The 27,263-nt window shown below is 54.7% G+C and overlaps 1 protein-coding gene across 21 annotated transcripts in view, besides 3 other annotated features; it reads left to right on the top strand.

The window, feature by feature from the left end:
• Positions 1 to 27,263, top strand: part of ANO1 (anoctamin 1) — a 223,534-nt gene that overhangs the window by 134,065 nt on the left and 62,206 nt on the right. For 10 of the 21 annotated variants that reach the window (NR_030691.2, XM_047427185.1, XM_047427184.1 and 7 more), the window contains 8 exons: positions 3,005 to 3,103; positions 3,938 to 4,089; positions 5,673 to 5,727; positions 8,292 to 8,343; positions 11,646 to 11,701; positions 16,397 to 16,438; positions 24,289 to 24,353; positions 26,000 to 26,134. Coding sequence is in view for 20 of the 21 variants with exons in the window: in XM_047427185.1 (XP_047283141.1) it covers positions 3,005 to 3,103; positions 3,938 to 4,089; positions 5,673 to 5,727; positions 8,292 to 8,343; positions 11,646 to 11,701; positions 16,397 to 16,438; positions 24,289 to 24,353; positions 26,000 to 26,134 (656 nt within the window). In the remaining variant the exon portion in view is untranslated. Of the gene's footprint in view, positions 1 to 3,004; positions 3,104 to 3,937; positions 4,090 to 5,672; positions 5,728 to 8,286; positions 8,344 to 11,064; positions 11,131 to 11,645; positions 11,702 to 16,396; positions 16,439 to 24,288; positions 24,354 to 25,999; positions 26,135 to 27,263 lie in introns of those variants that run through there. The other 11 variants (NM_001378092.1, XM_047427181.1, XM_047427183.1 and 8 more) reach the window with 3 other exon arrangements.
• Positions 16,195 to 16,695: an enhancer, noted in NCBI's record as "H3K27ac hESC enhancer chr11:69962362-69962862 (GRCh37/hg19 assembly coordinates)". NCBI's record gives its function as "activates a minimal SCP1, AML or CMV promoter by ChIP-STARR-seq in primed H9 embryonic stem cells {active_cell/tissue: H9 hESC(primed)}" and the evidence as "EXISTENCE:reporter gene assay evidence [ECO:0000049][PMID:30033119]".
• Positions 16,696 to 17,196: an enhancer, noted in NCBI's record as "H3K27ac hESC enhancer chr11:69962863-69963363 (GRCh37/hg19 assembly coordinates)". NCBI's record gives its function as "activates a minimal SCP1, AML or CMV promoter by ChIP-STARR-seq in primed H9 embryonic stem cells {active_cell/tissue: H9 hESC(primed)}" and the evidence as "EXISTENCE:reporter gene assay evidence [ECO:0000049][PMID:30033119]".
• Positions 23,302 to 23,940: an enhancer, noted in NCBI's record as "H3K27ac-H3K4me1 hESC enhancer chr11:69969469-69970107 (GRCh37/hg19 assembly coordinates)". NCBI's record gives its function as "activates a minimal SCP1, AML or CMV promoter by ChIP-STARR-seq in naive H9 embryonic stem cells {active_cell/tissue: H9 hESC(naive)}" and the evidence as "EXISTENCE:reporter gene assay evidence [ECO:0000049][PMID:30033119]".

Consider the following 27,263-nt stretch of genomic DNA (forward strand, 5'->3'; position numbering starts at 1 on the left):
CCACGCCGCACATTCTCCAGTCACCGTGCCTGGGGCAGCCTAGTCCTGCTGTCTCCCTGAAGCAGCTTCAGGCCCCCGCTCCTGGGTCCGTGCTCCTGCAAAGCTCCCCTAACCACTGGGACAGGCCCCTGCACAAAGCCCTGCAGGACCGCAACCTGCAGCTTCAGGGTGGGAGCAGAGGCTGAGCGGTGGCCCCCGATCCACATGCTCCTGGAGCCTGCGAACGTGGCCTTGTTTGGAAGAAGGGTCTTCGCAGAGGGAATGAAGTTAAACATCTCTGGATGAGATCATCCTGGATTTAAGGTGGGCCATAAATCCAATAGCAGAGAATGGCAGAGGGAAATTTGAGACCCAGCGAGGAGAGGAGGCCATGCCATCAAGGAGCCAGCAGCTGGAGCGATGTGGCCACAGCCAGGGGACGCCTGGAGCCCCCGGAAGCTGGGAGAGGCAGGAAGGATCCTCTCCTAGGGCCTTCGGAGGGAGCATGGCCCTGGAGACACTTTGACTGTGGACTTCAGGCCTCCAGAGCTGAAGGAGAATGAACACCCACTTTGGGGTCACGTGTTACAGAAGCTGCAGGAGGATCCCGCAATGGCCAGCATGGCACACGCCTCAGGGCCTCAGTTTCCCCAGCTGTGAAATGAGGATGATGACAGGACCTGCCTCACAGGCTTGCAGTGAGGATAAAATGAGTTGATATGCATGGAATGCACGCAGCAGGGACCGGCACGGAACTGACATTGAGTGGATGTCAGCCTCTGTCAACATTACTATTACTATTACTGTATTATTGCCCTTCGTTCGTTCATTCCATAAATATGTGCAAAGCGGCTGCTCTGAGCCTTCCGTGGGCAGCAGGGCAGCACAGAGGAGGCCTGAGCGGTGGTGCTGGGGAGAGGATGGCGTAGGGCAGGCCTCGTGGACGCAGCCGGGGGCCTCACCATCAGCATAAGCGACCACGGTGGGCTTCAGAAGGAGCGATGAGACAGGATTCACCCCATTGCCATTTGCTTTTCTATCGGATCAGGAAGAAGCATGGGATGAAGCTGGGGTGTCAAGGAGGGTCTCCCTTCCTCGGTGGTCACCTGAGGTGCTGGGGCCCCACCTTTAACTCTCTCTGCTGGACCTGGAAGCTTTGCCCAGGTCCCTGGGACCGTCGCGTTCACAGGCTTCCACCGAGGCTCTCGCTGGGTACATTGACTTGACCCACTTCAGATTTTGTTTTCTTAAAACTCATCCCCAAGTACACTTTGGGAGGCCGAGGCAGGCAGATCGCCTGAGGTCAGGAGTTCCAGACCAGCCTGGCCAACATGGTGAAACCCCGTCTCTACTAAAAATACAGAAATTAGCTAGGCGTGGTGGTGCATGCCTGTAATCCCAGCTACTCAGGAGGCTGAGGTAGGAGAATCGCTTGAACTCAGGAGGTGGAGGTTGCAGTGAGCTGAGAACACGCCACTGCATTCCAGCCTGGGAAACAAGAGTGAGACTCCATCTCAAAAAAGAACAAAAAAATGATTAAAAACCAAAAAAAAAAAAAAAAAAAAAACTCATCCCCAAGTGACTTTGGCTTCATTGCTTTTTGTCAACAAGCTACAATGAACCTATGTACTTGTGTCAGACACTCAAGGGGTCCAGAACCCAGGTCAGGCCCTGAGCCTGCACCTGGTCGCTCTGCACCCGGAGGGGATGGATGAGGTCCCGGCCGGCACTCGCTCTTCCTCCCGTCTGCCTTTTTGCCAAGACTTCCCATCCCTTCCTTTAAGGCTCAGAATTGTGGAAAGGAGACGTGGATGGGACCTCAGTCTGGAAGCCTCTGTCTGACCCCCAAGCCCCGGAGGACCAAGGCCCCCACTGCCTTTAGGCAGCTCTGGCTCAGGGAGACTCGGCACTGTTTCCCTTCTCGTTGCGTCAGCACCCTGGGCAGCTGGGTGGTCTCAGGGTGACAGGAAGGCCGACTGATGTGACATGTGTCTTTGATGGGGAAATACGTTGTGGCTGCAAAGATGCTGCTCATTTGCTAAAGGGACTCTATTAAACGCGAAATCCAGAGGGGAGAGGGAAAGCTAGAGACGCTGGGGCCATCTTTGCATCTGATCCCCGATTAAGAGTGGGGAGTCAGGGCAGTGCTGCCTGTGTTTGAGCACAGCTCCACCCTGCTAGCAGCAAGACTGTAGGCTGTGGTGACTTCATCTCCCCCAGCCTCAGTGTTCCCATCTGTAAAGGGGGCCTTTCTCATCAAGCTGGCCATGAAGGTTGATGGAGTCGGTTCTCATGAAGCCCCTAGCTGGTGCCGCATCCTCGCCAGCCAGCGCTCGGTGACTCTCTGCTGTTCACTGTTGCCATTGAGGACCAGAGAGAGGTGACTTGGCCAAGCTGGCAGCTGTTTAGGGAGGGCACTGGACTTGAACTCGGGCCTGCCTTCAAGCCCATGCACCAGGCTGCCATTCTCTTTAGGATGAAGTCAGTGCAGATACAAGGGAACCCGGGCAGTGGACCTGGAGCAGGCAGAGGTGTGGCCCTGACCCACAGGGGAAGATGCCCAGAGGGGGGACCATCTTCAGTCGTCCCCTCCTCGGCACTGCTCAGGGACCCACAGGTCCCTGAGTGATTCCAGGTGGAGGCCGAGGGGCCTGGGCTCTGCATCCTGAAAGGTCCTCTTTTGTGGCCTAGCCTGCTTTGGGGGCCCTTGGCTAAACCCTCCTGAAAACTTCCCTGGTGTTTTGGAGTCTATACCCACCGGGGATCCTCCTCTAGACCCTCCTGGCTCTTAAAGTTTCCCGTATGACCTGGGGGAGCTCCCACAGCCCCCTGCACTTCCTCCCACCTTCTGCTAAAGGGAATTCTAGCTTTGCCTCAAAGTGTTGTCAACGTGGAATGAGGCCGCGGTAAAAGCAGCCATGCACAGTAGCTGCTCGATAAATTGTGGTGGCCTCTGAAGATCAAGGTGGTTTTCCACAGAGATGCACCGCCCCCCCTCAACCCAGAACTTTCCTTCTCTCTCCAGACTAAAATCCACGGAGTCGGGTTTGTGAAAATCCATGCCCCCTGGAACGTGCTGTGCAGAGAGGCCGAGTTTCTGAAACTGAAGATGCCGACGAAGAAGGTTGGTGTTGATGGTCCTGCTCCGAAATGAATCGCCAAGTCTAGAGGTCACTTGGACGCCTGGCAGTGAAACATGCCGACCTCGAGGCCCTGAGTTTTATAAAAAAAAAACCCAGTGGGCTTCACGGCTACCCCTGCAAAGACCATGTGGCTCGATGTGACAAGGCCCCCAGGCTCTGGGGTCCTGACCGTGGTGAATATGACCCAACCCTGGGTGATCTTTAGAGACCCCAGACCAAACCCCACCAAGAGATGGTGCAGGCAGAAAAGCCCACCTCTCGGCCCCCGGGGAATTTACTGTACTTGCAGACACAGTTACAGTTCGGGCCGTGGTGCTTTCGTGTTTGTGGCATCTCAGCTAATTTATCAGATTCATTTTAATTACATTTTCTGGCTTACGGGGATTTTTCTTTTTAATCTGTGAAAACTTTGTATCTAAAAAGCAGTTTGACAGTGTGTTCCCAGAAGCTTAGCTTGGAGTCGGTATTTACTCTGGCAGGCGGACGGGTGAAGCCGGGCTAGGTAGTAAATCAGCCTCCTGCTTCTCGCGTCCTCAGAGACCACTTGGATTACCTCTTTTGAAGCAAAAGTAAAGTTTAGCGGGGAAGTTCTCTGGAATGCATTGTAATTGTGCTTTTGGCTGGGCGCTCCTGAAACTCTGGGCTTTCATGGCGTGGGCGGGGTGGGGCGGTGCATTCTGGCCCACCCAGGTGCTCTGCTCTCAGGACGCCCCGTTGCATGGGGTGGGATGGTTCTCTGACCATCCGAGAACAGATTCCACGGATCATGGTCCAGCAGGGTGACGCAGCTCCCCGGTCCCTTGTCTTATCTGCAGATGTACCACATTAATGAGACCCGTGGCCTCCTGAAAAAAATCAACTCTGTGCTCCAGAAAATCACAGATCCCATCCAGCCCAAAGTGGCTGAGCACAGGCCCCAGACCATGAAGAGACTCTCCTATCCCTTCTCCCGGGAGAAGCAGCATCTGTAAGTGGGGACCCCCAGCCTGCTCCCCAAAGGGTCCTGTGTGTGGGGATTTAACCTTCTAGCATGAGAAATGCAGATTGATTATCTGTCCCCCAAAGAAGAGCGTGTTCTTGTAAGAGCTTTGTGGTTGCTGAGCCCAGAAGAGGCTGTGGAAATGATTTCTAAGATCACCGTTAACTGATGAGTTAGGGGGACACAGCATCTTGTTCTGCTTGGTGACGCAGGAAAAACTTCTTTGGCCTGAGTGAGGACCCCAAAGCAGTGGTCTAGACATGCCTTCCCACCCGCTCCGCACCCCTGCCCCGCCACCCCATCCCCCTCCAGTGTCTGGCCAACCAGGCCTCCTGCAGCCCAGGCAGCCTTGAGCCCCAGTAAGTCTCACTCCTTGTGGCAGAAATTGAAAAGCATCCCCAGGCAGGAGGCCTGAGGCCCCAGGGACTCACCGCCAGCTGGCTTGCCTGGCAGGGCCACGTCTATTCTGGAAACTTCCCTCCTCCCGAGGGGCAGTGGGGCGTAGCCACCTGGGTCAGCAGTGACTGCAAGGCCTCTGCTGGCCTCACTGGGCGGAGCTGGAGTGTGAGCAGAGGTGGGAATAGAAAGCTTGAGTCATGGGAACCCAGAGGGACTTTGGATGGAAGCTCTGGCGGGCAGGAGGGCTCCTGGACAGTGCTGGCCTCACAGGGTCGGGGGCATGGAAAAGCAGACAGGGAGGACGAACAGGTGCCTCAGCTCACAGGGGCCCTTGCTTATAAATGTAGTAGGGGTGGAGCCATGAGCATCACTGGATGCATTTACCAGGTCCTGATTCCTAGAGCGGACAGGACATGCCACCAGAGAGAAGGAAGCAACCCCCAAGCCCAGCCCTCTCCTCCAGATCCAGAACAGGGGCTTGGGGCATTAGAGGAAACCGCCCTCCTTCCAGGACCCCCGCCGACCTCCCTCGTCTCTGCCCTGGGTCGACTCTGTCAGCCCTGCTGCCTGGACAGGGCTAAGCTCACCTCCAGGCTCCGTGGAGGTGGAAACTGGCCCAGCCGCCCTCCCCAGCTCTCCCCGAAGTGCCTTGGAGAGCAGGGAGAGCAGGGAGTGTGTTCCCAAGATGCCCCTCCACCCTCAGGAAGCCTCGGGCCATCCCTATGCAGCCCATCAGGACCCAAACCATTGGAAATACAGGGAGATTGTTTTCAAGGTTGGAGCTGTCTGATGGTGGCGGTGATACTGCCCCTGTCCCCCGCCTTGTTGAAACAGAGACTTTCAAAACTGCCCACTGAGGATGTCATCAAAAGGAAGCAGGGATCTTCTGGGGGGCTGTGGGGGGTGGGGGGCTGGAGGGTGGTCTGACCGTACTCGCCTCCTAGGTCACTTCCCACCTATGTGGGTCTCAGGCCTCGCCCAGGTGCGGGGGCAGTGAAACAGTCTGTTCCAAATGCCCAGGGGCGGACGGGTCATACCTGGCGTGCGGACAGAGTTCTGTCCATTTCACGGTCACGGCTAATGGGGACAGTGTGGTTTCCCAGGGCCTTGAAACCCAGAGAACTGCCAGCTCTGGTGAACTGTGTCTTGTTTCCTTCCCGATATTTCCACAGATTTGACTTGTCTGATAAGGATTCCTTTTTCGACAGCAAAACCCGGAGCACGATTGTAAGTATCGCACGCGCCTGGAAACGGCTCACTGGCAAGATGGCCCTGGGGATCCAGATGATAATTTCATTTTGGTGAAACTCCTCCCGGTGGAAGCCGGCTCTAATTGTCTGTGACAGAAATAATTAGAATAATGAAAGGGAGAGGGCAACGAGGGGCCCAGGGGATGGTCGTGCCCCAGGCAGGGGCAGCTGAGAGGAAGGGAATCAGCACAGAGCTTGGGAAAGCAGGAGGGAAGCCAGACCCCTGGAGTGATTTCAAAGGTCGGTGTTTCTGGATCTGTGCAGCTCCCAGCACATGTCTCAGAGCCGCCTCGTGGTGGGATTGTGCGTGCCTGACCATCAGGCCACGATTCGGGGCTTTCAGGGCAGGCAGGTGTGGGCAGGAGGGAGGGTTGGTGGAGGCAAAGGCGCGTGGGTTGAGATCTCTTTCCAGGCCTTTGCCAGAGGAGCCAACTGAGGTTTGAAATCTGACCAGGCCACCCTGCCCTATTCAAGGCACTGGCTTCATGTTTATCCAACCTGTCCACCAGCCAAGCTGGGGCTGTGCATGGCTCAGGACCCAACTTCTATCTAAACAAGAAATTAACCTGGCAGCCAAACTTTCGCTGTTATTCTCTATTCCCTGCCCAGAAAGCCCAGCCTGGCCGGGCAGAGACAGAGGGCTGGGAGGAGACAGTCAGGGTGACCTTGTCCAGACAACTACTCCTCATGACCACCACCTGAGACTGGCAGGCAGCCAGCAGGAGGTCGGTGCAGGTCGTACCAGCACGGGGGGTTCTGAGCCACTGCTGGGACAGACAGATCTGGGGCAGGGAGGAGGGCATCTCTCTCCCAGAGACCCTGGAGGCCAGTTTCTAAATGGCCAACATGCTCCAAAGAAACTGATAATTCATAGCTTTGGCCTTGGTTAGTCAGGCCTAATAGTCATCAAAATCCAACAGCCTGCAGGGTTGGCTGAGGTTCTAGGCAAAGCCGTGGAGAACTGACAGCCCTTCCCCACTCCTCTCCTCCACACCATTCAATCTGTCCTGGCATTGGGGTGGTCCAGTGTGCAAGTGGATAGGAGTCAGAGAACAGCAGTACTCGATAGGGAGAGGCCCACTGTGCTGGTCTTGGATTTTAGACCTTTGGCCTGTGGGCGCTGGGGAGCCATAGAAGGTTGTGGAGCTAGGTTGAGGATGTGGTGAGATCCGTTCCAGAAGGATCACTGCCAGTGGCCAGCTGTGGGAGGGTAAATGACTGGTGGATGAGGGCTGGTGGCAGTGGTCATAAACATGGGCCATAACTGCATGTGGAAGGGAGGAGGTGGTTACAGGAGAATCAGCAAGGTCAGAACCGATTAGATCTGAGGGATGATGGGGAGGGAGCCATTGAGAACAGCCTAGTGGGCGATTCCTTCCTTCATTCAGCAGGGATGTATTGGGCACCTGCTGGGTGGGAGAAAAGAGGCACTGAGGACATTTATAATCCGGCAGGTGGGGAGAGGCAAGCTGAGCTAGAAGACAGAGCCACCGGGAGGGTGGTGGCCTCAAGGCCTGGTTGTTAAGGGGACCCTGGACCTATTCCAATCTGAAGGGGACAAGTGCTTCTGGGAAAAGGAACAGCCAGGGCGGAGGCCCTGTGGCTGCAGGAGTGAGTTTGGAAAGTGAGAGAGGCAGCCAGGGGGCGGGGTTGTTGGGACAGGTGGGTCCAGTGGAGGCGGCGGGGCGGGGAAGCGGTCAGATGGCCTGGGCCAGGGGGAACTGGAAGGACGCTGGCCTTGCCTGAGAGAGTGGAGGCAGAATTGGCATGCTCTGAAATGCACGTCTGCATAGCACGACCAGTTCTTCTCACCCCAGTTTACAGATGGAAAAACTGAGGCCGGGAGTGGTGATGTCGCTGGTCCAAAATCACACAGCTGCAAATGGCAGAGCTGGCGCCAGGTTCCAGGCAGACAGACTCCCAAGCCGGAGCTGCTGAGGCCACCAAACAAAACACGTCACTAGTCAAGGGGCAGGCAGCCGGGGGGGAATCCCTTCAGCAGGGCTCTGCCCAGGCACCAGGAACCCAGAGCCCGATGATGGCCGCCTCCTGCCACCGTGGGGAATGGATCCCAAGGCCCGCCCCACCACCACCACCCCTGATCCCCCAGAGTCCTAGAACATTCAGGGCTGTGTCCCAGAGTGGTGCTGTTCCAACTCAGCTCTCAGCACGAGGGGACCGTAAATCCACCAGGCAGGGTACGTGGCACAGCTGTGACACAGGACACCAGCACTAGGCCCAGGAGGGCACGGCAGTGCTTTGCTGGGGCCAACTGCCATGACTCCCACGTTGGGAGGTGAAAGATGGGAACTGCAGGTGCACCTGTTTCTCCCTGAGAAGCTCAAGCCTTTGACAGTGTTGAGAATCCGGAGCTGGGTCAACCCTCCCTGAATAAATGCCATTGTCTTTCCTTGGAAGATAGCACCAAGGAGGTCTTCATGCGTAACGTGTGACCAGGTCCTCTCCAGCCACAGCAGACTGTTTCTGCTCGTGGAAGGTGCCTTAAGTAACTGCTCACCCCCCTTCTTGTCTCTGCAATAGGTCTATGAGATCTTGAAGAGAACGACGTGTACAAAGGCCAAGTACAGCATGGGTAAGCACGTTTTTGGGGCTTGAGATCAGCATTGGTTTCCAAGTCGGAATCTCACCTCCGAGTCATCTCTGTGGGAGGCAGGCAGCCGGCTTGGGGTGTTTAAGAGGGTTTTGATTTAAGCCTGTGTAACAGTTCCAGACAAGAGGGCTGGGTTGGGAGCGTGCAGGGCAGTTTTATGGCCCAGCACTTTTAAACACAAATGTATCCTTCACTTTGGCCTGAGGGGTTTGTGAGCGTGTGGACAGGCTCTCCCTGCACGGGTGGTAAATCCAGGCTGGAAACAGACCAGTGTTAGGGATGACCGGGGGATTCCTGGCCCTCTCTTGACCCTCACGGTCCAGTGGGAAGTAATTGGGGTTCCAGCCGGGGCGGCATCTCCATGTGGCTGTTCCGGACCCTTAAAAGCACAGCTGGGCTTGCTGAAAGCAGCGCCCCCTGACCAGGCACCACCAGGTACAGACAGCCTAATTCCGGAAGCTGCCACAAAACCATCCTGACCAGGCTTTCTGGGTACCAGTTTCCAGAACCCCTTAAGCCGTAGATACAAAATCTTCCCAATTAAATTGTGTAGCTGGGAACCACCCCCCACAGTGGGTCCCTTGCCCACAGCTGCAGGCAGTTTGTGAAAGCCAGAACATTGCAGAGCAAAGGAATGCCATTTCCAGCCTTTCCTCCCCTCCTTCTTGAGCTGTCTTATGACCTGCTGAGAGCCGTGCCATAGGGTAGCATCCATCACTCTGTAGAAGCCTCTGAAAGGATGAGGCCATGGCTCCCGGGGGACACAGCAGGTCTGGTGAAAGCTGGAGTCTGTGCATACAGGAGGGACCATCTTGCTGCCTTGGCTTCCCGTGGTGGCAGGAATGCTGTGGGAAGTAAAATGAAGAGCAGTGGGAGTCAAGGGCTCGGAACTGGAATTCCTGAGGTCAGGCCCGGGAGACAGAGAGAAGACGAACCCTCGACAGCTCTGGTGGCTGCTTGGCCCCAGACCATATGGCCTGTGTTCACTCACAGGGATACCCTTGCAGGCCTGAAGTCTCTAAGTCCATGTCCTAAGGCAAGGGGAGTGTGGAGGAGTCCCATCCAGGGTCAAAAGGACTGAGATCCTCTAGAATGGCCAAGCCCTAGTACACACGACTGCAGTGAGGTCAGGCGGAAAGGAAGGTGACGTTGGGAGTTTGGGTTTTTGAAATTGCTCCTCTAGGTCACCGCTGCCAGGGCACAGCCTTGGAAAGGTAACTAGAGGTAAGGAGGAGGCATGGTTCTGGTCCCAGGGCCGGGTCTTGGACCTCGGTTTCCCCCCTGGGTCCCTGCAGCGTTCCTTCCAGTAGAAACGTGTATGGTTGCAATAGAAGTCCAGCGTCTTCAGGCTGCATGGCCCAGGCTGATTCTCTGCTCGGGTGGTCCCTGGGGACACAGGGTCTCTGTGTTCCCACCGGTTTTGTGGCGGGGCTGGTTCCCTGCACCTGGTGACGGGGCAGATAGATGCGGGTCCTCCTCTTCAGCCCTGCTTCACCATGACACCTTGTCTGAGAGTCGACCCACCTCTAAATTCATCCGCAAGTGCTGAGGATTCCCGTCACCTGCCAAGTTGTGTCCCATAGTCTTGCAGGATGAGCAGGGTGGGGCTAGCTGCGGGATTTAGGAACTGTGATGAGAGAAGGCCTTCCAGATGGAGGGAGTGGCACATGCAAAGGCCCTGCGGCAGGCAGCACCAGGTTAGCAGCATTCCAGCAACAGGAAGGAGGCCAGCGAGCCTGGCTGAGGGCCTATGTTCACTTTCTTTTTTTTTTTTTTTTTTTTTAGACAGAGTGTTGCTCTGTCACCCAGGCTATAGTGCAATGGCACAATCTCAACTCACTGCAACCTCTGCCTCCTGGGTTTAAGCAATTCTCCTGCCTCAGCCTCCCGAGTAGCTGGGACTACAGGCGCCCGCCACCACGCCTGGCTAATTGTTTGTATTTTTAGTAGAGACGGGGTTTCACTGTGTTAGCCAGGATAGTCTCGATCTCTTGACCTCGTGATCCACCTGCCTCAACCCCCCAAAGTGCTGGGATTACAGGCGTGAGCCACTGTGCCGGGCCCCCATGTTCACTTTCTATTGCAGACAAACTTTTCACTCACACATGTGGCTTAAGCCCCTTCCTCTGGTTTTGACTTCTAAGCATCCCTTAGTCCCCTGATCATTCCAGGTCATTGACCACAGAGATGGCCCATTTTCAAGGGGATTTCGGGAGGTCATTTTCCCGCCGCTATCAGGTGGAGTCTCAGAGGGTGGTCCGCCCAGGCTGCTGTGAAAAACTTAACGCTCTTACTGCCTAGGAAGCCTCTTCAGCCAAGCAGGGGGTTCCATGAGCAGCAAAGGGCCCCATGGAAACGCCCCCGCCTGGCTGGGCCCCCACGATGTATTTGGAGCAAGATCTGATTTCCAGGAAACCCTTCCCCACACATGGCCCTGGCTTTCCGGTCCTCTCTCGCAGTCTCCTGGGGCTGGGCGCCCGCATGCGCACCTGTTAGGACACACAGGCATGGTGTTTTTATAATGTGCCCAGTGCAGGCCCTGGGGGCCACGTAAAAAGGGGCCCTGCCAGCATTCCACTGCCTCCAGGAGCACTGGACGGCTGTGAGTCCGCCAGAATCACTGGCCACTGACGCTTGCTGCCCCAAATGTAGCTTTGATCCTGTCAGGCCCTTCCACCTCACTAATAGCCAATGTATAAACAGGGCAAGGCGAGGGAAGAAAGAAGGACTCCGCCCTTCTAAGTAAAAGGCGGAAATGTGGGAAGTATGGTAAGTGTGGGCCTCCTCCGGCTTTCCCAATCAACCTAAAATCTAATTCCAAATTGTATGTGTGTTTTCTGACACCATCAATTTTTCCATCCGTATATTTCCTCATGATTCAGCTTCTCTAACCACTTACAATCCACCTTCCCCATCTGCAGGCTTGCCCTCGGACAGGTGGGGGGAGCCGGTGAATCGGAGGCTTGGGGTGACAGTGAAGCCATGGTCCGCTCACACCGCCTGCCTCTGAGACAGAGCCGCCTCTTGGGGTTTTCTCTGTGTCTTCCTAATTCTGCCAATCGAGCATGTGTTTCGTCATCTCCTAGTTGATAGATCAATAACCCAGCTGCACCCTGTCATTCCTGGGGAAGAAACCCCAGAGGTGGCCGGGCTCTGCGTAGTCAGGTTCGTTTCATTTTGAGAAGCTCTTAGTGGCTGAGATGGCCCTGTGACCGCTGTGACTTTACAATGGGAAGCGGGAGACCCGCCTGCCCCATAACCTTCTCTCTGCCTCTGTTTTTAAGGCATCACGAGCCTGCTGGCCAATGGTGTGTACGCGGCTGCATACCCACTGCACGATGTAAGTAACCTTGACACACGATTTATCTCTGCGTCATTTGACTCCCCAAATCCCGCCGGGCCACACCCCCCCGGGAGCTGCAATTATCCTGTGGTCACAGCTTCCTGCTTGGCTCTCGCTGTAAATGTCAACTGTACACAGGCCTTCCCTGTTCCCCGGGTGGGGGCCAAGAAGTTACACACAGGGCCATCTTTTCTTGCAAAACAATCCCACCAAAACGGGGGCACGGGTGGCAGCTGCTCCTGCCTCGACTTCCTCTGAACCTCGTAGCCAGCGGGTCCACAGAATGTCTTTCCTGGCCTGGGCTCCCCTACCCCCAGCTGGCCCGGGGCTCTGGCAGAATGACCAGGGCTCTGTACGTGTCTATTTCTGCAGAGCAAGTGGCCAGCTTCCTGAGCTGAATCTCCAGATCCCACTGGTATCCCTTTGACAAATATAGCCCATGTCAGTGGCTGACTTGGGGTGGAGAGAGAGAGAAGATTGTCTTCTTGTTGTCTCTATGGAAACAGGGACTCAAGTTCAGCAGGGCACTGGGAATGGGCCTCCGGGCCTGAGCAGTGTGGGAATCCCAGACAGAGGAGCTCTGAAACTTTGCAAATGTGCAAAGGCCAGGAGCCAAGAAGCAGGAGAGAAGGGACAGGCCTGGGACTAAGGAGACCCAGATTCCAGTCCCGGCCACTTACCTGCTCCTCCGCCTTGAGTGGTGGAGTCAGCCCCTTGTCTCACTGAGCCTCAGTGTCCCCATCTGTGGGTCAGGAATCATAACTTGTCCTAACTCCTCTTTTCTTTTCTTTTTTTTTTTTTTTTTGAAACAAGACAGAGTCTCGCTCTGTCATCCAGGCTGGAGTGCAATGGCATGATCTCGGCTCACGGCAACCTCCACCTCTTGGGTTCAAGCAATTCTCCAGCCTCAGCCTCCCAAGTAGCTGGGACTTCAGGCGTGCACCGCTACACCCAGCTAATTGTTTGTATTGTTAGTAGAGATGGGGTTTCACCATGTTGGCCAGGCTGGTCTCGAACTCCTGACCTCAAGTGATCCACCCACCTCAGCCTCCCAAAGTGCTGGGATTACAGGCGTGAGCCACCGTGCCCAGCCTAATTCCTCTCTTCTTGAGGAAGAAACAATGGATTAGACAAACTTGAGGTGCAGGGATCCCGCAGGGCAGTTCAGGGGTGTATTCTCCAGACGGTTGACCCCAAGGGAAGGAGTCTAGGCAGATCTGCTGCCCGTCACCTCGTCGCCTCCCTGTCAGGGCCTCCTCCTCACTGTAGGTCCGGGGATTGGGGTGGTTGAGCAGCCCCGCTTCCTCCCTTCGTGCATTCACACATGCTGTTCCTTCTGCTACGGTACTCTTCCCCGCCCCACCCCACCCCAGGCGGACAGAAGCACCCACACCACGCCTGCCTGTTGCCTTCCTCCCCAGGACTAGTGGCTTCTTCCTCCCTTCTCTGGGCCTCAGATGGTCCCTGTCCTGCAAAGACACCACCGTCTGACCACCTTTAGTTATGTGTGTCATCTCAAGGAAGCCCAAGCACTCAGCACTTAATAAGTGCTCAATAAACGTGGTGTTGATTGAGATTGGATTGAGTCGGTTTGCCTCGGCCAGCGACCTGCTGTATGGGGAGGTTTCAAGGGCAGAGTTCAGGCCCCTAGACCAGGGCAGTGGCTCCGGGTTCCTGCCCTGAAGCCCTGAGTCTGGAGGAGCCCACTCCTCCATTCTGTCAGGCTTTCCTCCAGAGGACCCAGCCGGTCTGGTTGTTCTGTCCCACCCTGTGTAGGCTCCGGCTGGGTGCCAGGAAGACAGCCCTGCCTGGCACAGCCCATGATCCCAAGAAGGCAGCCTAGAGCTACATCCATGCTCCTGATTGACCTTTAAGCAGGTAATCCCTGCTGAGAGGCTGAGGCACCGAAGCCAAAATGTTTCCGGCCCTCCCTGCTTGTTTTGAGTTAGCCCTTTAAGTCTTAAAAGGGAAAGGGGAGAAATGAACGTATCTGAGCACCTACTGTGTGCAGAGCCCTCTGTTTAGAAGGAACTGTACCTCATATAACCTGTGCAGACACAGAGACTCAGAAAGGCTTAGTAATTTGCCTGAGGTCACACAGCCCCTTTGGAGGAGCTGGGGCCAAAAGCCGTCCCTAGTGACACTCTGCAACTCCAGTGCCTCGCTGTGTCCCCACCTCATCCCGTCATGGAGGCCAAATGCATCCCTCTTCTTGGCAGCCACTACTGCATTTGTCTTAGGGATTGACTGTCAACAGTTTAAATTGACTGGCGCAAAACTCCCTCATCAGCTGGATCTATTTATTGTCAGAGAGCCAGCCTCACAAGAAGCATCTCCAAGATCCATGCAGACAATCTCCTCTTTCAAAATCTTCATCGTGCCTTATGCAGCCATGTGGGGTCTGTTCCCACCTTAAAGATGGAGAAACAGGCTGGAGGAGCTCAGACCACTTGCCCAGGGGCGCACAGCCCAGAAGGAGTGGAGCTCGGAAGCCCTAGGCTGTGGGTGGCAGGTATCCTTAGGGAATATGGAAGTTTACAGCCACAGATTTTCCATATGACTGAAGGGCGCCCGTGCTGCTAAGTACCAAAGCTGATGTTTAAGCATTTGGGGAGATGACTGGTTCTGGCCTGAGCCGCGTGCACCCATGTCCTTACCCAGAATACTGACTGCAGGGAAGTTCAGGCTGGCCTCGGTGGCCATGGTGAGGCTCTCACTGCATGCAGTGTAGTTCTGGCTTTACATTTTTGCTTCCATCTTCCTCCCCATGAAGCTGTCCTGCATCTTACCCCCTTCCAATCCTGTGCTTACTGCATTCATTCATTCATTCATTCCTCAAGAATATCTGGTCGGTTGGGCACGGTGGCTCACGCCTGCAATCACAGCACTTTGGGAGGCCAAGACGGGTAGATCACCTGAGGTCAGGAGGTTGAAACCAGCCTGACCAACATGGCGAAACCTCATCTCTACTAAAAATACAAAAATTAGCTGGGCATGGTGGCACATGCCTGTAATCCCAGCTACTAGGGAGGCTGAGGCAGGAGAATTGCTTGAACTCGGGAGGCGGATAACAACCTGATAGAGTTGTGTGTGGGTAAGAGTCACATGCTCCAACTGAGACCCTGAGGAAGTCTCCTGGAATCAGAGTGTATCACCCGTACTGAAAGGACTTTGATATTTATGTTGGCTACTTGGCGGCCTTTTGGCTTTCTTCCTGACTAACGAGGTCACCAGCATAAGGACCTCCGTATAAATGAGGTGCTGCTGGGATCGCGTGGCTGTCTCATCCATGGAAAGAAACTGGGAAACACTAAAAGGAGTCAGGCTTGGGTGGGTGAGGATCCCCTGAAGACTTAGGAGGAAATTGGTTAAACTGCTCTCAGAGCGTCTTCGTTCCAAGACCACCTGCATTTGGTTGCTTGCTTGAGTGTGTGGTCAAGTCGTCCCCACCTGGCAGGGGTTAGAAGGGGTCATGGAAGTTGCTGGTGAGGGGAGAGGGCACTGGACAGACCCCCAGGAGCCCCATAGCTTTGTCTGCCTGGATATTCTTAAAACCCATTGGCCAGGCCAGGCGCAGTGGCTCACACCTGTAATCGCAGCACTTTGGGAGGCCGAGGCGAGCGGATCACTTGAGGTCAGGAGTTTGAGACCAGCCTGACCAACGTGGTGAAACCCTGTCTCTACTAAAAATACAAAAATTAGCCGGGTGTGGTGGTGGGCACCCGTAGTCCCGGCTACTTGGGAGGCTGAGGCAGGAGAATCACTTGAACCTGGAAGCGAAGGTTGCAGTGAGCCGAGATCATGCCACTGTACTCCAGCCTGAGCGATAAGAGTGAAACTCCATCTCAAAAACAAAAACAAAATCAAAACAAACAAACAAAAAAAACTATTAGCCAGGCCAGGCCAGCCATGCCCTGAACCTCGACAGGGCCGCTCCCTTGCTGCTCCTCCCCAGTTACTTTTGTCAACTGTAGTTATTTGGGGCTCACTGAATGACAGTTAAGTATCATTTTGAGTGTTTGTGAGGGTAACGTGCACATAGCCATAGGCAGTCTAGACCCATGATGTTCCAAGATGGGCTTTCAACCCTTAGACCCTTCTCTTCCTTTAGGTTTGAAGGTCTGGATCCAAGTCAGGGTCTGACCGAACTTAGGTGTGTGTCCTCAGAAATGTCAGTTTGCTTCTCGGAGCCTCAGTGATTCCATCTGTAGAATGGGAGTTTTGGACTCACTGATTAGATGACAATGACCTTGTCATTTACTGTCCCTCTTGGGATGCTCCACAGTGAGAAGGGAGCAAGACACGGACTGTCCCAGCAGAGTGGGACATATACGCACCCTATTGATACGACTCTTCCTGCCTCCAAAAGCCCCCTTTCATTTGTGTTTCTGGTTCCAAGGACCCGACCGTGGATCCTCTCCTAGAGTCCCCTCTGTGTCGAGGGAAGAGGCGGCTCAGGCCGTCCTGGTGGTGGAGGCCAACAGGGCGGCCAACAGGGACGTGCACGGCCTTTCTATCATAACGGGGGCACACCTGGGCAACCCTCACACTCTGTGTGAAATGTTGCCCCAGGATGATCTTAATTTGTGTCAACGAGAGCTGCTGGGGTTTATGTTTTGAAACATAATGGATGTGAGCGCCTCCAAAGCTCCATTGGATGATAAGAACGTCCCTTTCCTCTTTTTTTAACAGGGAGACTACAACGGTGAAAACGTCGAGTTCAACGACAGAAAAGTAAGTTGATGGAGCGGAGCAGGAGGTGGCTCTGTCAGAGCCTGGAGGCGTTCTGGGGCGGGGTGGGCCTGCAGCTGGACCGAGGACTTACCGGCCTCCAGGGCCTCCCCAGGGCGCTCGCTGCAGGGGGCTGAGAAGCGGGTGTCCCCTCTCACCTTTTCAGGAGAAAAGTCCGTGAGCTTTGTGTGGCTGGTTTGTTTTCCTCTTTCTGATTGTCAAAAATGCCCTTGGCAGGTGACCGTGAGCATGGGAAAGGGAAAGCTGTCCTCCCAGAGCCCACTCCTTGCACGCTGTCCTTCCCTTATCTTCTCGGGACAATCTGAACTGTGCCTGGGCCTCCAGCAGTCCTTGCTGGCATGTGGCCTAATCCCACAGGGCTCCCAGGCAAATAAACTTGGGAACCACTGACACCAGGTGCACAGAGAACAATGGCCCCCAGCAGCGCATTGGGGAAACCTGTTTGATGGTGGTCAATGAAGTGTTTCTCAAATTTACCTGACCTGGAACCCTTTTAATGGAGAAGTTGTTGAGCTAGTGTTCTAGGGAACACACTTTGGGAAACACTGGGTGACCCCTTTATTCTTTTTTCTTTGTTTCTTTCTTTTTTTTTTTTTTTTTTTTTTGAGTTGGAGTCGCACTTTGTCACCCAGGCCCTCTGCCTCCCGGGTTCAAGTGATTCTCCTGACTCAGCCTCCAGAGTAGCTTGGATTACAGGTGCCTGCCAGCAGGCCCAGATGATTTTTGTATTTTTAGTAGAGACGGGCTTTCGCCATGTTGGCCAGGCTGGTCTTGAACTCCTGACCTCAAATGATCCACCCTCCTTAGCCTCCCAAAGTGCTGGGATTACAAGCGTGAGTCACCGCACCCAGCCAGCCCCTTTATTCTTTAGTGGCTGTTGCTAATTTTCCTCACTCCCCAAAGCGTTGGTCCCCACCCTCTACCCCTCACTCTGAGCATGGGAACTCCACCCTTCCCACCCAGGCTCCCCAGGAAGCTCTGCTTCTCTACCATGCCCCCGAAAAGAACATGTCCCCACCACATCCATTTGCTCTTCCCTCCTCTCCCATGGGCCCACACCCGATACCAGCCTTCCCCCCAGGTCTCCACGTCAGCCTCTGTTCCCCAAATGTGCCCAGCTTTCCCTCTCGGGAAGCAGTCCTTCCTGGACCCTGCATGTGCAGCCCTTGCCCTATCTGCTGGTCCTTCCACAGGTGGTGGGTAGAGATGCTTCCCTGACAACCTCACAATAGTGGCCTTGTCCCAATTCCCAGGGGCCAGGACCTCTGTGTATGGAATGTTCTTCATTTCAGCCTCCCCCACAGGCCCCCATACATGTTTTTAAATCTTTGGTACTTGATACAACTTGCCCGCCTGGGAATCCAGATGAAGATGCTATCTAACTTAGCACAAAAATTACATATTTGGTTATTTTTAGTGTAACATCTGGCATCGTCTGGGACCCCATGACTTGCAGAACTCCCGACTCCAATCCTGTTGGAAAAGGACCATCCCCTCCACAGGCCTGTCCTGACCAATTCCAGCCTCAGAGTCCAGCCCCCTTCATCCCTCCGCACCCCTCTGGCACTTGGCAGATGCCTATCCTCCCCCTAAAAATGCTTCTTCCATGGACACCAGTAGTCCCTTTCTAGCCGAATTCAGTTCTCTGGGTCACAGGCCCCTGAACCCTACCCCCTCTTCCCCCTCCTCCCCCTCCTCCATTCTCCAGCCACACTGGCTGCTTTTCTAGTCTCAGGATTGCTTGGCTGATGGTCACGTCAGTGCCAGGACTAGCTCATTCAGTTACTTATTCATTTGAGAAATACCTACTGGGCACTACTCTGTGCCAGGCCCAGCAAACACAATGCGGGTTTGTCCAGGCCCAGCTGTTTACTCTACCTGGAATGATTCCCACTCCCCATGTAATTTTAGGTCCCAGCAGTGGATACAAGGCCTGGCCCATGGGGGTAGTCAAGGAGTAATGAATGACAGTTGGGTGGATGGATGGATTAATGGATGATAGATGGATGGATAGAGATGGAGATGGATAACTGAATGATGGATAATGGATGGATGGATAGATGGATGGATGGATGGATGGATGGATGGATGGATGGATAGATTATGGATGGGTGAATGGGTGGACGGATGAATAGATGATTGATGGGTGGGTGGGTGGGTGGATGGATGGTGGAGAGATGAATGATGGTTGATGGATGAGTGGGTGGATGGATGGGTGAATGAGTGGATGGACAGATGGATGGTTGATGGATGGGTAGGTGTGTGGGTGGATGGATGAATGGATGCTGAAGGGATGAATGGTGGATGATGGGTGGGTGTGTGGATGGGTGGCTGATGGAAGGATGAATGATGGATGATGGGTGGGTGAGCAGGTAGGTGGATGGATGCATGCTGGAGGGATGAATAATCAATGATGGATGGATGGGTGATGGGTGGGTAGGTGGGTGAATGGGTAGATGGATGGATGGATGCTGGAGGAATTAATGATAGATGATGGGTGGGTGGATGGATGATGGAAGGATGAATGATGGATGATGGGTGGGTGAGCGGGTAGGTGAATTGATGGATGCTGGAGGGATGAATAATCAATGATGGATGGATGATGGGTGAGTGGGTGGGTGGATGGATGGATGCTGGAGGAATTAATGATGGATGATGGGTGGGTGGATGGGTGATGGAAGGATGAATGATGGATGATGGGTGGGTGGAGGAATGATGGATGGATGGGTTGATGGATGATGGGGGGGTGGGTGGGTGAGTGGATGGATGCTGGAGGAATTAATGATGGGTGATGGGTGGGTGGATGGATGATGGAAGGATGAATGATGGATGATGGGTGGGTGGATGAATGATGGATGGATGGGTTGATGGATGATGGGTGGGTGGGTAGGTGAATGGATGGATGCCTGAGGGATGAATAATTAATGATGGATGGATGGATGGCCGATGGAAGAATGAATGATGGATGCTGGAGGAATGAATGATGGATGATGGGTGGGTGGATGGATGGATGGATAAATGGATGGATGGGTGCTGGAGGAATGAATGATGGTTGATGGGTAGATGGGTGGCTGATGGAAAGATGAATGATGGATGCTGGAGGAATGAATGATGGATGACGGGTGGATGGGTGGATGATGGAAGGATGAATGATGGATGATGGATGGGTGGAGGGGTGGGTGAATAGATGGATGCCGGAGGGATGAATAGTTAATGATGGTTGATGGTTGGATAGGTGGATGATAGATGGATGGGTGGATGGTTGATGGGTGGACAGGTAGGTGAATAGATGGATGCCAGAGGGATGAATAATTAATGATGGATGATGGATAGATGATGGAGGGATGATGGATAGATGCTGGAGGAATGAATGATGGGTGGGTAGATGGATGATGGAAAGAAGAAAAGGAGGGAAGGAGGGAGGATTAGATGGGTGTTTGGGTCCTAACTCAGAGCTGCAGGGAACTCTGCATTCTGCCACGATGGCTCCACATCACAGCCTGGTGCCAAGTTTTTGCCTTTCCGGTGACAGACTCCATGGCTTCTCCATTATTGTTCTAATCAGTGGCAGGAGCCCCACGTGCCTGACCCTGGATACCTCACAGGGCAGAAATGAAAGTGCAGCCAAGGACATTTCAATGACATTTTCCTGTGCTGAGCTGGAGGGTGGGCAGAAGAGAGTGTAGGGAAGTTTAAGCAGGAGGCAGGTCTGGGCAGGGCAGCCATCACTCTTGGCCTGATCATGGGGCCACAAACATGTAGGAGTACTTGGGAGCCCCTTCCTCCAGGACCGTGGGTGAGTTCACACCTACACAGAACTGAACCCCAGGTGAGCAAGGCACGCCCCCAGAGCTGTCTTTGGATGTGCAGAAGGTGTTCTGGTGGGCAGCTGCTGCCTCCCCCTGCCAGGGCACTGGAAGAGTAGGACCACCTGGGCCCTGTTGGGGAGAGGGGTGGCTTGGGTTGTGGGGGATTGATTCCAGGTGTGGACTGAGGTCTGCTGCATCCCTGGGCTGGACTAGGAGCCACAGAGCCCAACATGTCATTCATCCATCCATTCATCCATTCATTCAACAGTCACTTAGTGAAAACCCACAGGCCCTGTTGGAGGCATGGAGGGTGAGAAGGACCAGACAAACCTGGTCCCTCTGGTGTCTCCATTCTAGAGGGAAGGGCAACGGGCAAGGACATACACCAATTAAAGATTGCATCCATGTCACCAAGGGCCGGTGGCAGCCATGTGAGTCCTGGCAGGGGGTTTCGACAAGAGAGACGCCTGAGGGTTGTTGGGATCCCTCCAGGGTCCGGATGCTGGAAGGCTCCCAGGTCACAGTGACTGGAGCCGCCTGGCTGGCCTTGTTCTCCAGCCCACAGCCCCCATGGCTGGACGCCCCCCTGCCTGCTCACCGGGGCTAAGGTGCCACCTTGGATTCCTTCCAGCACTTCAGTTGGATTTCTTTGCCTTGACAGTGCAGAGTGACTGATGTCGCCTCTTGGCAGAAAGAAAAGTCCACCGAGGTCAAGCGGTATATGTAGAAAGCTGGGAGTAGGCCCCCTCCACACGTCTGTCAGAAGGTGGTGGGAGCCACTGAGGGTGGGTCCCTCCTCCCCCGGTGCAGAGCTTTGTCCTTTCTCACTGTCCCTGTCTCGCTCCCTCCCTCCTTCTCTCCCCGTCTCCCTCCCCCACTTCTCTCTGTCCATCTCTCTATCTCTGTCTCTCCATCTGCCTCTGTCTCTGCCTCTCTCTCCATCTCCCCCATGTCTCTCTGTCTGTCTGTCTGTCTCTCCATCTGCCTCTGTCTCTGCCTCTCTCCCTGTCTTCCTCCCCCACCTCTCTCTGTCTGTCTCTCTGTCTCTGTCTCTCCATCTGCCTCTGTCTCTGTCTCTCTCCCTGTCTCCCCCACCTCTCTGTCAGTCTCTCTGTCTCTGTCTCTCCATCTGCCTCTGTCTCTGTCTCTCTCCATCTCCCCCACCTCTCTGTCTGTCTCTCTATCTCTGTCTCTCCATCTGCCTCTGTCTCTGTCTCTCTCCACCTTCCCACCTCTCTCTATCTGTCTCTCTGTCTCTGTCTCTCCATCTGCCTCTGTCTCTCTCTCCGTCTCCCCCACCTCTCTGTCTGTCTCTCTGTCTCTGTCTCTCCATCTGCCTCTGTCTCTCTCTCCGTCTCCCCCACCTCTCTCTGTCTGTCTCTCTATCTCTGCCTCTCCATCTGCTTCTGTCTCTGTCTCTCTCTCCATCTCCCCCACCTCTCTGTCTGTCTCTCTATCTCTGTCTCTCCATCTGCCTCTGTCTCTGTCTCTCCATCTCCCCCACCTCTCTGTCTGTCTCTCTATCTCTGTCTCTCCATCTGCCTCTGTCTCTGTCTCTCCATCTCCCCCGCCTCTCTGTCTGTCTCTCTATCTCTGTCTCTCCATCTGCCTCTGTCTCTGTCTCTCTCCACCTCCCCACCTCTCTCTGTCTGTCTGTCTCTGTCTCTCCATCTGCCTCTGTCTCTGTCTCTCTCTCCATCTCCCCCGCCTCTCTCTGTCTCTCTGTCTCTGTCTCTCCATCTGCCTCTGTCTCTCTCTCTCTCCGTCTCCCCCACCTCTCTCTGTCTGTCTCTCTATCTCTGTCTCTCCATCTGCCTCTGTCTCTGTCTCTCTCTCCATCTCCCCCACCTCTCTGTCTGTCTTTCTGTCTCTCCATCTGCCTCTGTCTCTGTCTCTCTCTCCATCTCCCCCACCTCTCTGTCTGTCTCTATCTCTGTCTCTCCATCTGCCTCTGTCTCTGTCTCTCTCTCCATCTCCCCCGCCTCTCTCTGTCTCTCTGTCTCTGTCTCTCCATCTGCCTCTGTCTCTCTCTCTCTCCGTCTCCCCCACCTCTCTCTGTCTGTCTCTCTATCTCTGTCTCTCCATCTGCCTCTGTCTCTGTCTCTCTCCACCTCCCCACCTCTCTCTGTCTCTCTGTCTCTGTCTCTCCATCTGCCTCTGTCTCTGTCTCTCTCTCCGTCTCCCTCACCTCTCTCTGTCTGTCTCTCTATCTCTGTCTCTCCATCTGCCTCTGTCTCTGTCTCTCTCTCCACCTCCCCACCTCTCTCTGTCTCTGTCTCAGTCTCTCTCCCTCTTTCCCTCCCTCCCCCTTCTCTCTCTCTGTCTCTGTCTCTCCATCTGTCTCTGTCTCTCTCTCCCTCTCCCCTACCTCTCTCTGTCTCTCTCGCTGCCTCTCTCCTTCTCTGTCTCTCCATCTGTCTCTGTCTCCCCCCTTCCTCCCTCTGTCTCTCTGTCTCCTCCTTCCCTCCTCCTCACTCTCTGCCGCATCTTCCACCTGTCTATGGCATAAATCAGCAGCTTGACTCTAGGTGAGAGGAGGAAGCTGCCCAGGTTAGCGATGGCTGCTTTGCTTTTGCAGAGGTGTGGCTCCGCTTCATCAAGGTTTGCTGGCCGAGGCTTCCCTATGTACACAGTAAAACTGTGGCCTTTTCATCGTTATCTGCCTAAGGAAACGCACTGATGCAGAAACACCCTGTACCTTTCGCACATCACTAACTCGCATGAGCCCATCTGCCTTCTCTCCATGCCCTGGGAGGAGAGATCGCATCCTTCAGTGTAAAGGAGGAGACAGGGATGGGGGAAGGGGTCTGCCCAGGACTCTCGATTCGGGGGTGGGGGAACCTTCCCAGGGCCGCAGACAAGTCACAAGCCCCTCCAACCATGGCCATGCTTAGCTGCAGGTGAGGCTGGTGGTTTCGGGGGGCTGTGCAGCAGCAGGCGGCCCCTCTATGGATCTCAGGAATACGCCCTCCACCTGTGAGTTTGGGTGGGGGCAGCCGTGGGTACACCTGCACTGTTTCCCCTCCCTGTTTGTCAGTGGGGGGTCTCTATAGTGCACAGCCCGTGTTACCCCAGAGGAGACGCTCAGGCACGCGAGGCTATGTCAGCTGTGGAGATGGCTCACACTCACTTCCTGCCCTCCAGGCACTGGAGGAGTTATGGAGGCTCCAAGGGGTTCCCTCGTCCCCCAGCCATGACCTTGACTCTGAGTTTGGGAGGCAGCTTGGCCCCAGAATGGGCTCTGAGCTGAGGAGGAGGGCAGCTGCCCCACCTCTGGCTCCTGGTGGGCAGCTGCTCTGTCCCAGGACAGCCTCTGGGCCCCTCAAGGTACCTGAATCCTGCCTTCCCTGAGTGTGGCCCTGTAGCCCTGGGCGGGCATGATGTATGAGCCTGGGCTTTGAGTTGAGGTCTGTAAAGCATTAACCACCCACATGCGCGGGTTTATTTTTTTATTTTTTTACTAGCAGTCCTAACCCAGCATCTTCATCAGGACACCCTTTACATGTTCACACAAGGCTTCCAATCCACCAAACTCATTACTGTCCCTGCCCAAAGCCTGGGGGGGTAACAGGGTGTGTGTCAATTTCACTTATTTCATGAAGAGCTGTTTTAATCAGACAGCCCATCTCAGGAGATAAACCTCGAGTATCTTTGCATCCCGTGAGAGTTTTTAAAATTTCACCACTGGTATTTCTCTGCTCAAAACCCTGGTGACTTTGTGACCTTTATAAAGAATGGTTTGGTGTCTGATGGGGATGACCAAAAACCCTAAAGGTAAGAAGCCGTACAGCGTCTGGCCCATTTAGATCAATTCCAGGTCAAATCACAAAGAGCTCACATTCCATAACCTGCCAGAAGCTTCTTTCCCATCCCCACGTTCACAGCCCACACAGCCCACTCTCAAGAAGTGTTTATGGGATGAATGAATGATGTCACGGAGGCTCAGTCCCCGCAGCTCTGCGTTCCGGGGAGCAACCTCGGAGTGCCACATTGTCACCAACCCCACTGCTTCCTCCCCCTCAGCTCCTGTACGAAGAGTGGGCACGCTATGGAGTTTTCTATAAGTACCAGCCCATCGACCTGGTCAGGTAAGAACGCGCCACAGCCTGCGGGAATCAAGTCCCTACTCCGATGGCAGTCGGATAACATCCCTGTGGGTTTCAACCGCTCTGAATGTTCAGTACCCGGGAACGTGTTTGAACTCAAAGAGCTTGTGTAGGAAGACCCAAAATGTCCCTGCAGGGCTGAGAGCCTGGGCCAGCATTAGATGAAGCAGTTTATTCAAATTCCCTGGAGGTCGGGCCCTTTTCAGTCACATTTACCATCTCCTAAATTCACTGCCTGGCCTGGCCTCACTGGGCGGCGGGAGGGTTTTCCGGATTTGAGACGTGGAGGGGAAGGAAAGAGCTGCCTCAAATGTGGAAGGATTTCTTCTCTCCCAAGAGGATCTCTGTCCTCACAGGGCAGGAAGGAGGGGCCGACCAGGTTAGGCAACTTGCCCGCCAGAGCTCGACTGGTAGAAATCCATTCAAGCCATCAAACTGCCAACCACGCTTAATATGAGGAGCAATTGGTTTTCTTGGCACCTCCCGGCCAAGGTTCTTTCCAGTCCTTATGCTGAACAGGGCTTGGAATGGAGCCCACAGCCTCAGGGGAAGTAGGCCCACAGCCATCAGCATGGGCCATCGCACACGGAAAAGCGCCCACCTTCCCAAGGCACCACAGAGAAGTGGGGACCGGGCGCGGTGGCTCACGCCTGTAATCGCAGCACTTTGGGAGGCTGAGGCAGGTGGATTACTTGAGGTCAGGAGTTCGAGACCAGCCTGGCCAACATGGTGAAACCCCGTCTCTACCCAAAATACAAAAGTTAGCTGGCAGTGATGGTGCATGCCTATAGTCCCAGCTACTAGGGAGGCTGAGGCAGGAGAATCGCTTGAACCCGAGAGGCGGAGGTTGCAGTGAGCCGAGATCGCGCCACTGCACTGCAGCCTGGGCGACAGAGCAAGACTCCATCTCAAAATAAATAAATAAATAAATAAATGCAATGGGCGTGGTGGCAAGCATCTGTAGTCCCAGCTACTCAGGAGGCTGAGGCAGGAGAATCGCTTGAACCTGAGAGGCGGAGGTTGCAGTGAGCCGAGATTGTGCCACTGCGCTCCAGCCTGGGCAACAGGAGCAAAACTCTATCTCAAAAAAAAAAAAAAAGAAAGAAAGGAAAAGAAAAAGAAAGAGAAGAGGCTGGGCACGGTGGCTCACGCCTGTAATCCCAGCACTTTGGGAGGCCGAAGGGGGCGGATCACGAGGTCAGGACATTGAGACCATCCTGGCTAACACGGCGAAACTCCATCTCTACTAAAAATACAAAAAATTAGCCGGGCGTGGTGGCGGGCTCCTGTAGTCCCAGCTACTCGGGAGGCTGAGGCAGGAGAATGGCGTGAACGCGGGAGGTGGAGCTTGCAGTGAGCCGAGATAGCGCCACTGCACTCCAGCCTGGGCAACAGAGCGAGACTCCATCTCAAAAAAAAACAAAAAAAGAGAGAAGAGGGGAGGGCTTCAGAAAAGCAGAGAGCACCCCCAACCTGATGGGGCGGCCCAGGACCCCACTCTCTGCTTCTGGGATGAGGGAACCAGTGCCCCTGGTTTGAGTTGCTCTTGCTGGGGAGGGCCTGTGACATGTTTCCCTGCTAGTATTGAATGACAGTGGGCTTGACTCTGCTCTGCTCCCCTGGTGTAGGAAGTATTTTGGGGAGAAGATCGGCCTGTACTTCGCCTGGCTGGGCGTGTACACCCAGATGCTCATCCCTGCCTCCATCGTGGGAATCATTGTCTTCCTGTACGGATGCGCCACCATGGATGAAAACATCCCCAGGTAGGCGGCAGCCCACCCCCACCACCCCGCAGTACACAGAGGAGCCCTCTCCTGCCATCCCAGCTGCACAATTCATTGGGACACTGGCCTCTCACACCAATTCCTGTACACATGAAACCTCACGCCAAGCCACGAGCCGTCAGGAGGAAAGGACATGGTTCGAAGCCATCTAGGAGTCTGGGAGTCCTTCTCAGGCCCATCTGTGCTAGGCTATGTTTTATTGTTAAGAGAAAGGCATAAAAGAAACATCTGACCATTTTCATTCTTTAAAAGTTGTTATGGTTGGCTTGTTCTTTTTCACTGTTGGTCATTAGTGACAAGAAAGTTTTCTGTTTCCTTGTGTGGCCGGGAGGTGAGGCATGAATGCTAGGGGCTTCAGTGTAGGCTGGTACTTGCGGGAGGTGAGACATGGATGCCAGAGGCCTCAGTGCTGGCTGGTGTTCGCGGGAGGTGAGCATGAATGCTAGGCTTCGGTGCAGGCTGGTACTTGCGGGAGGTGAGACATGGATGCCAGAGGCCTCGGTGCAGGCTGGTGCTTGCGGGAGGTGAGCGTGAATGCCAGACTTCGGTGCAGGCTGGCACTTGCGGGAGGTGAGACGTGAATGCTAGAGGCCTCGGTACAGGCTGGTGCTCCCAGGAGGTGAGACGTGAACGCTAGAGGCCTCGGTGCAGGCTGGCACTTGCGGGAGGTGAGACATGAATGCTAGAGGCCTCGGTACAGGCTGGTGCTCCCAGGAGGTGAGACGTGAACGCTAGAGGCCTCGGTGCAGGCTGGCACTTGCGGGAGGTGAGACATGAATGCTAGAGGCCTCGGTACAGGCTGGTGCTCCCAGGAGGTGAGACGTGAACACTAGAGGCCTCGGTGCAGGCTGGTGCTTGCGGGAAGTGAGACATGAACGCTAGAGGCCTCGGTGCAGTCTGGTGCTCCCAGGAGGTGAGACGTGAACGCTAGAGGCTTCGGTGCAGGCTGGTGCTTGCAGGAAGTGAGACATGAATGCTAGAGGCCTCGGTGCAGGCTGGTGCTCCCGGGAGGTGAGATGCGAATGCTAGTGGCCTCAGTGCAGGCTGGCGCTCGTGGGCTGTACAGTAGGTTCCACCTGCCCAGCTTCCTAAGGCTGCCTGCTTCCCT

The sequence above is a fragment of the Homo sapiens genome, chromosome 11, assembly GCF_000001405.40.
Source record: "Homo sapiens chromosome 11, GRCh38.p14 Primary Assembly".
Taxonomy (NCBI): domain Eukaryota; kingdom Metazoa; phylum Chordata; class Mammalia; order Primates; family Hominidae; genus Homo; species Homo sapiens.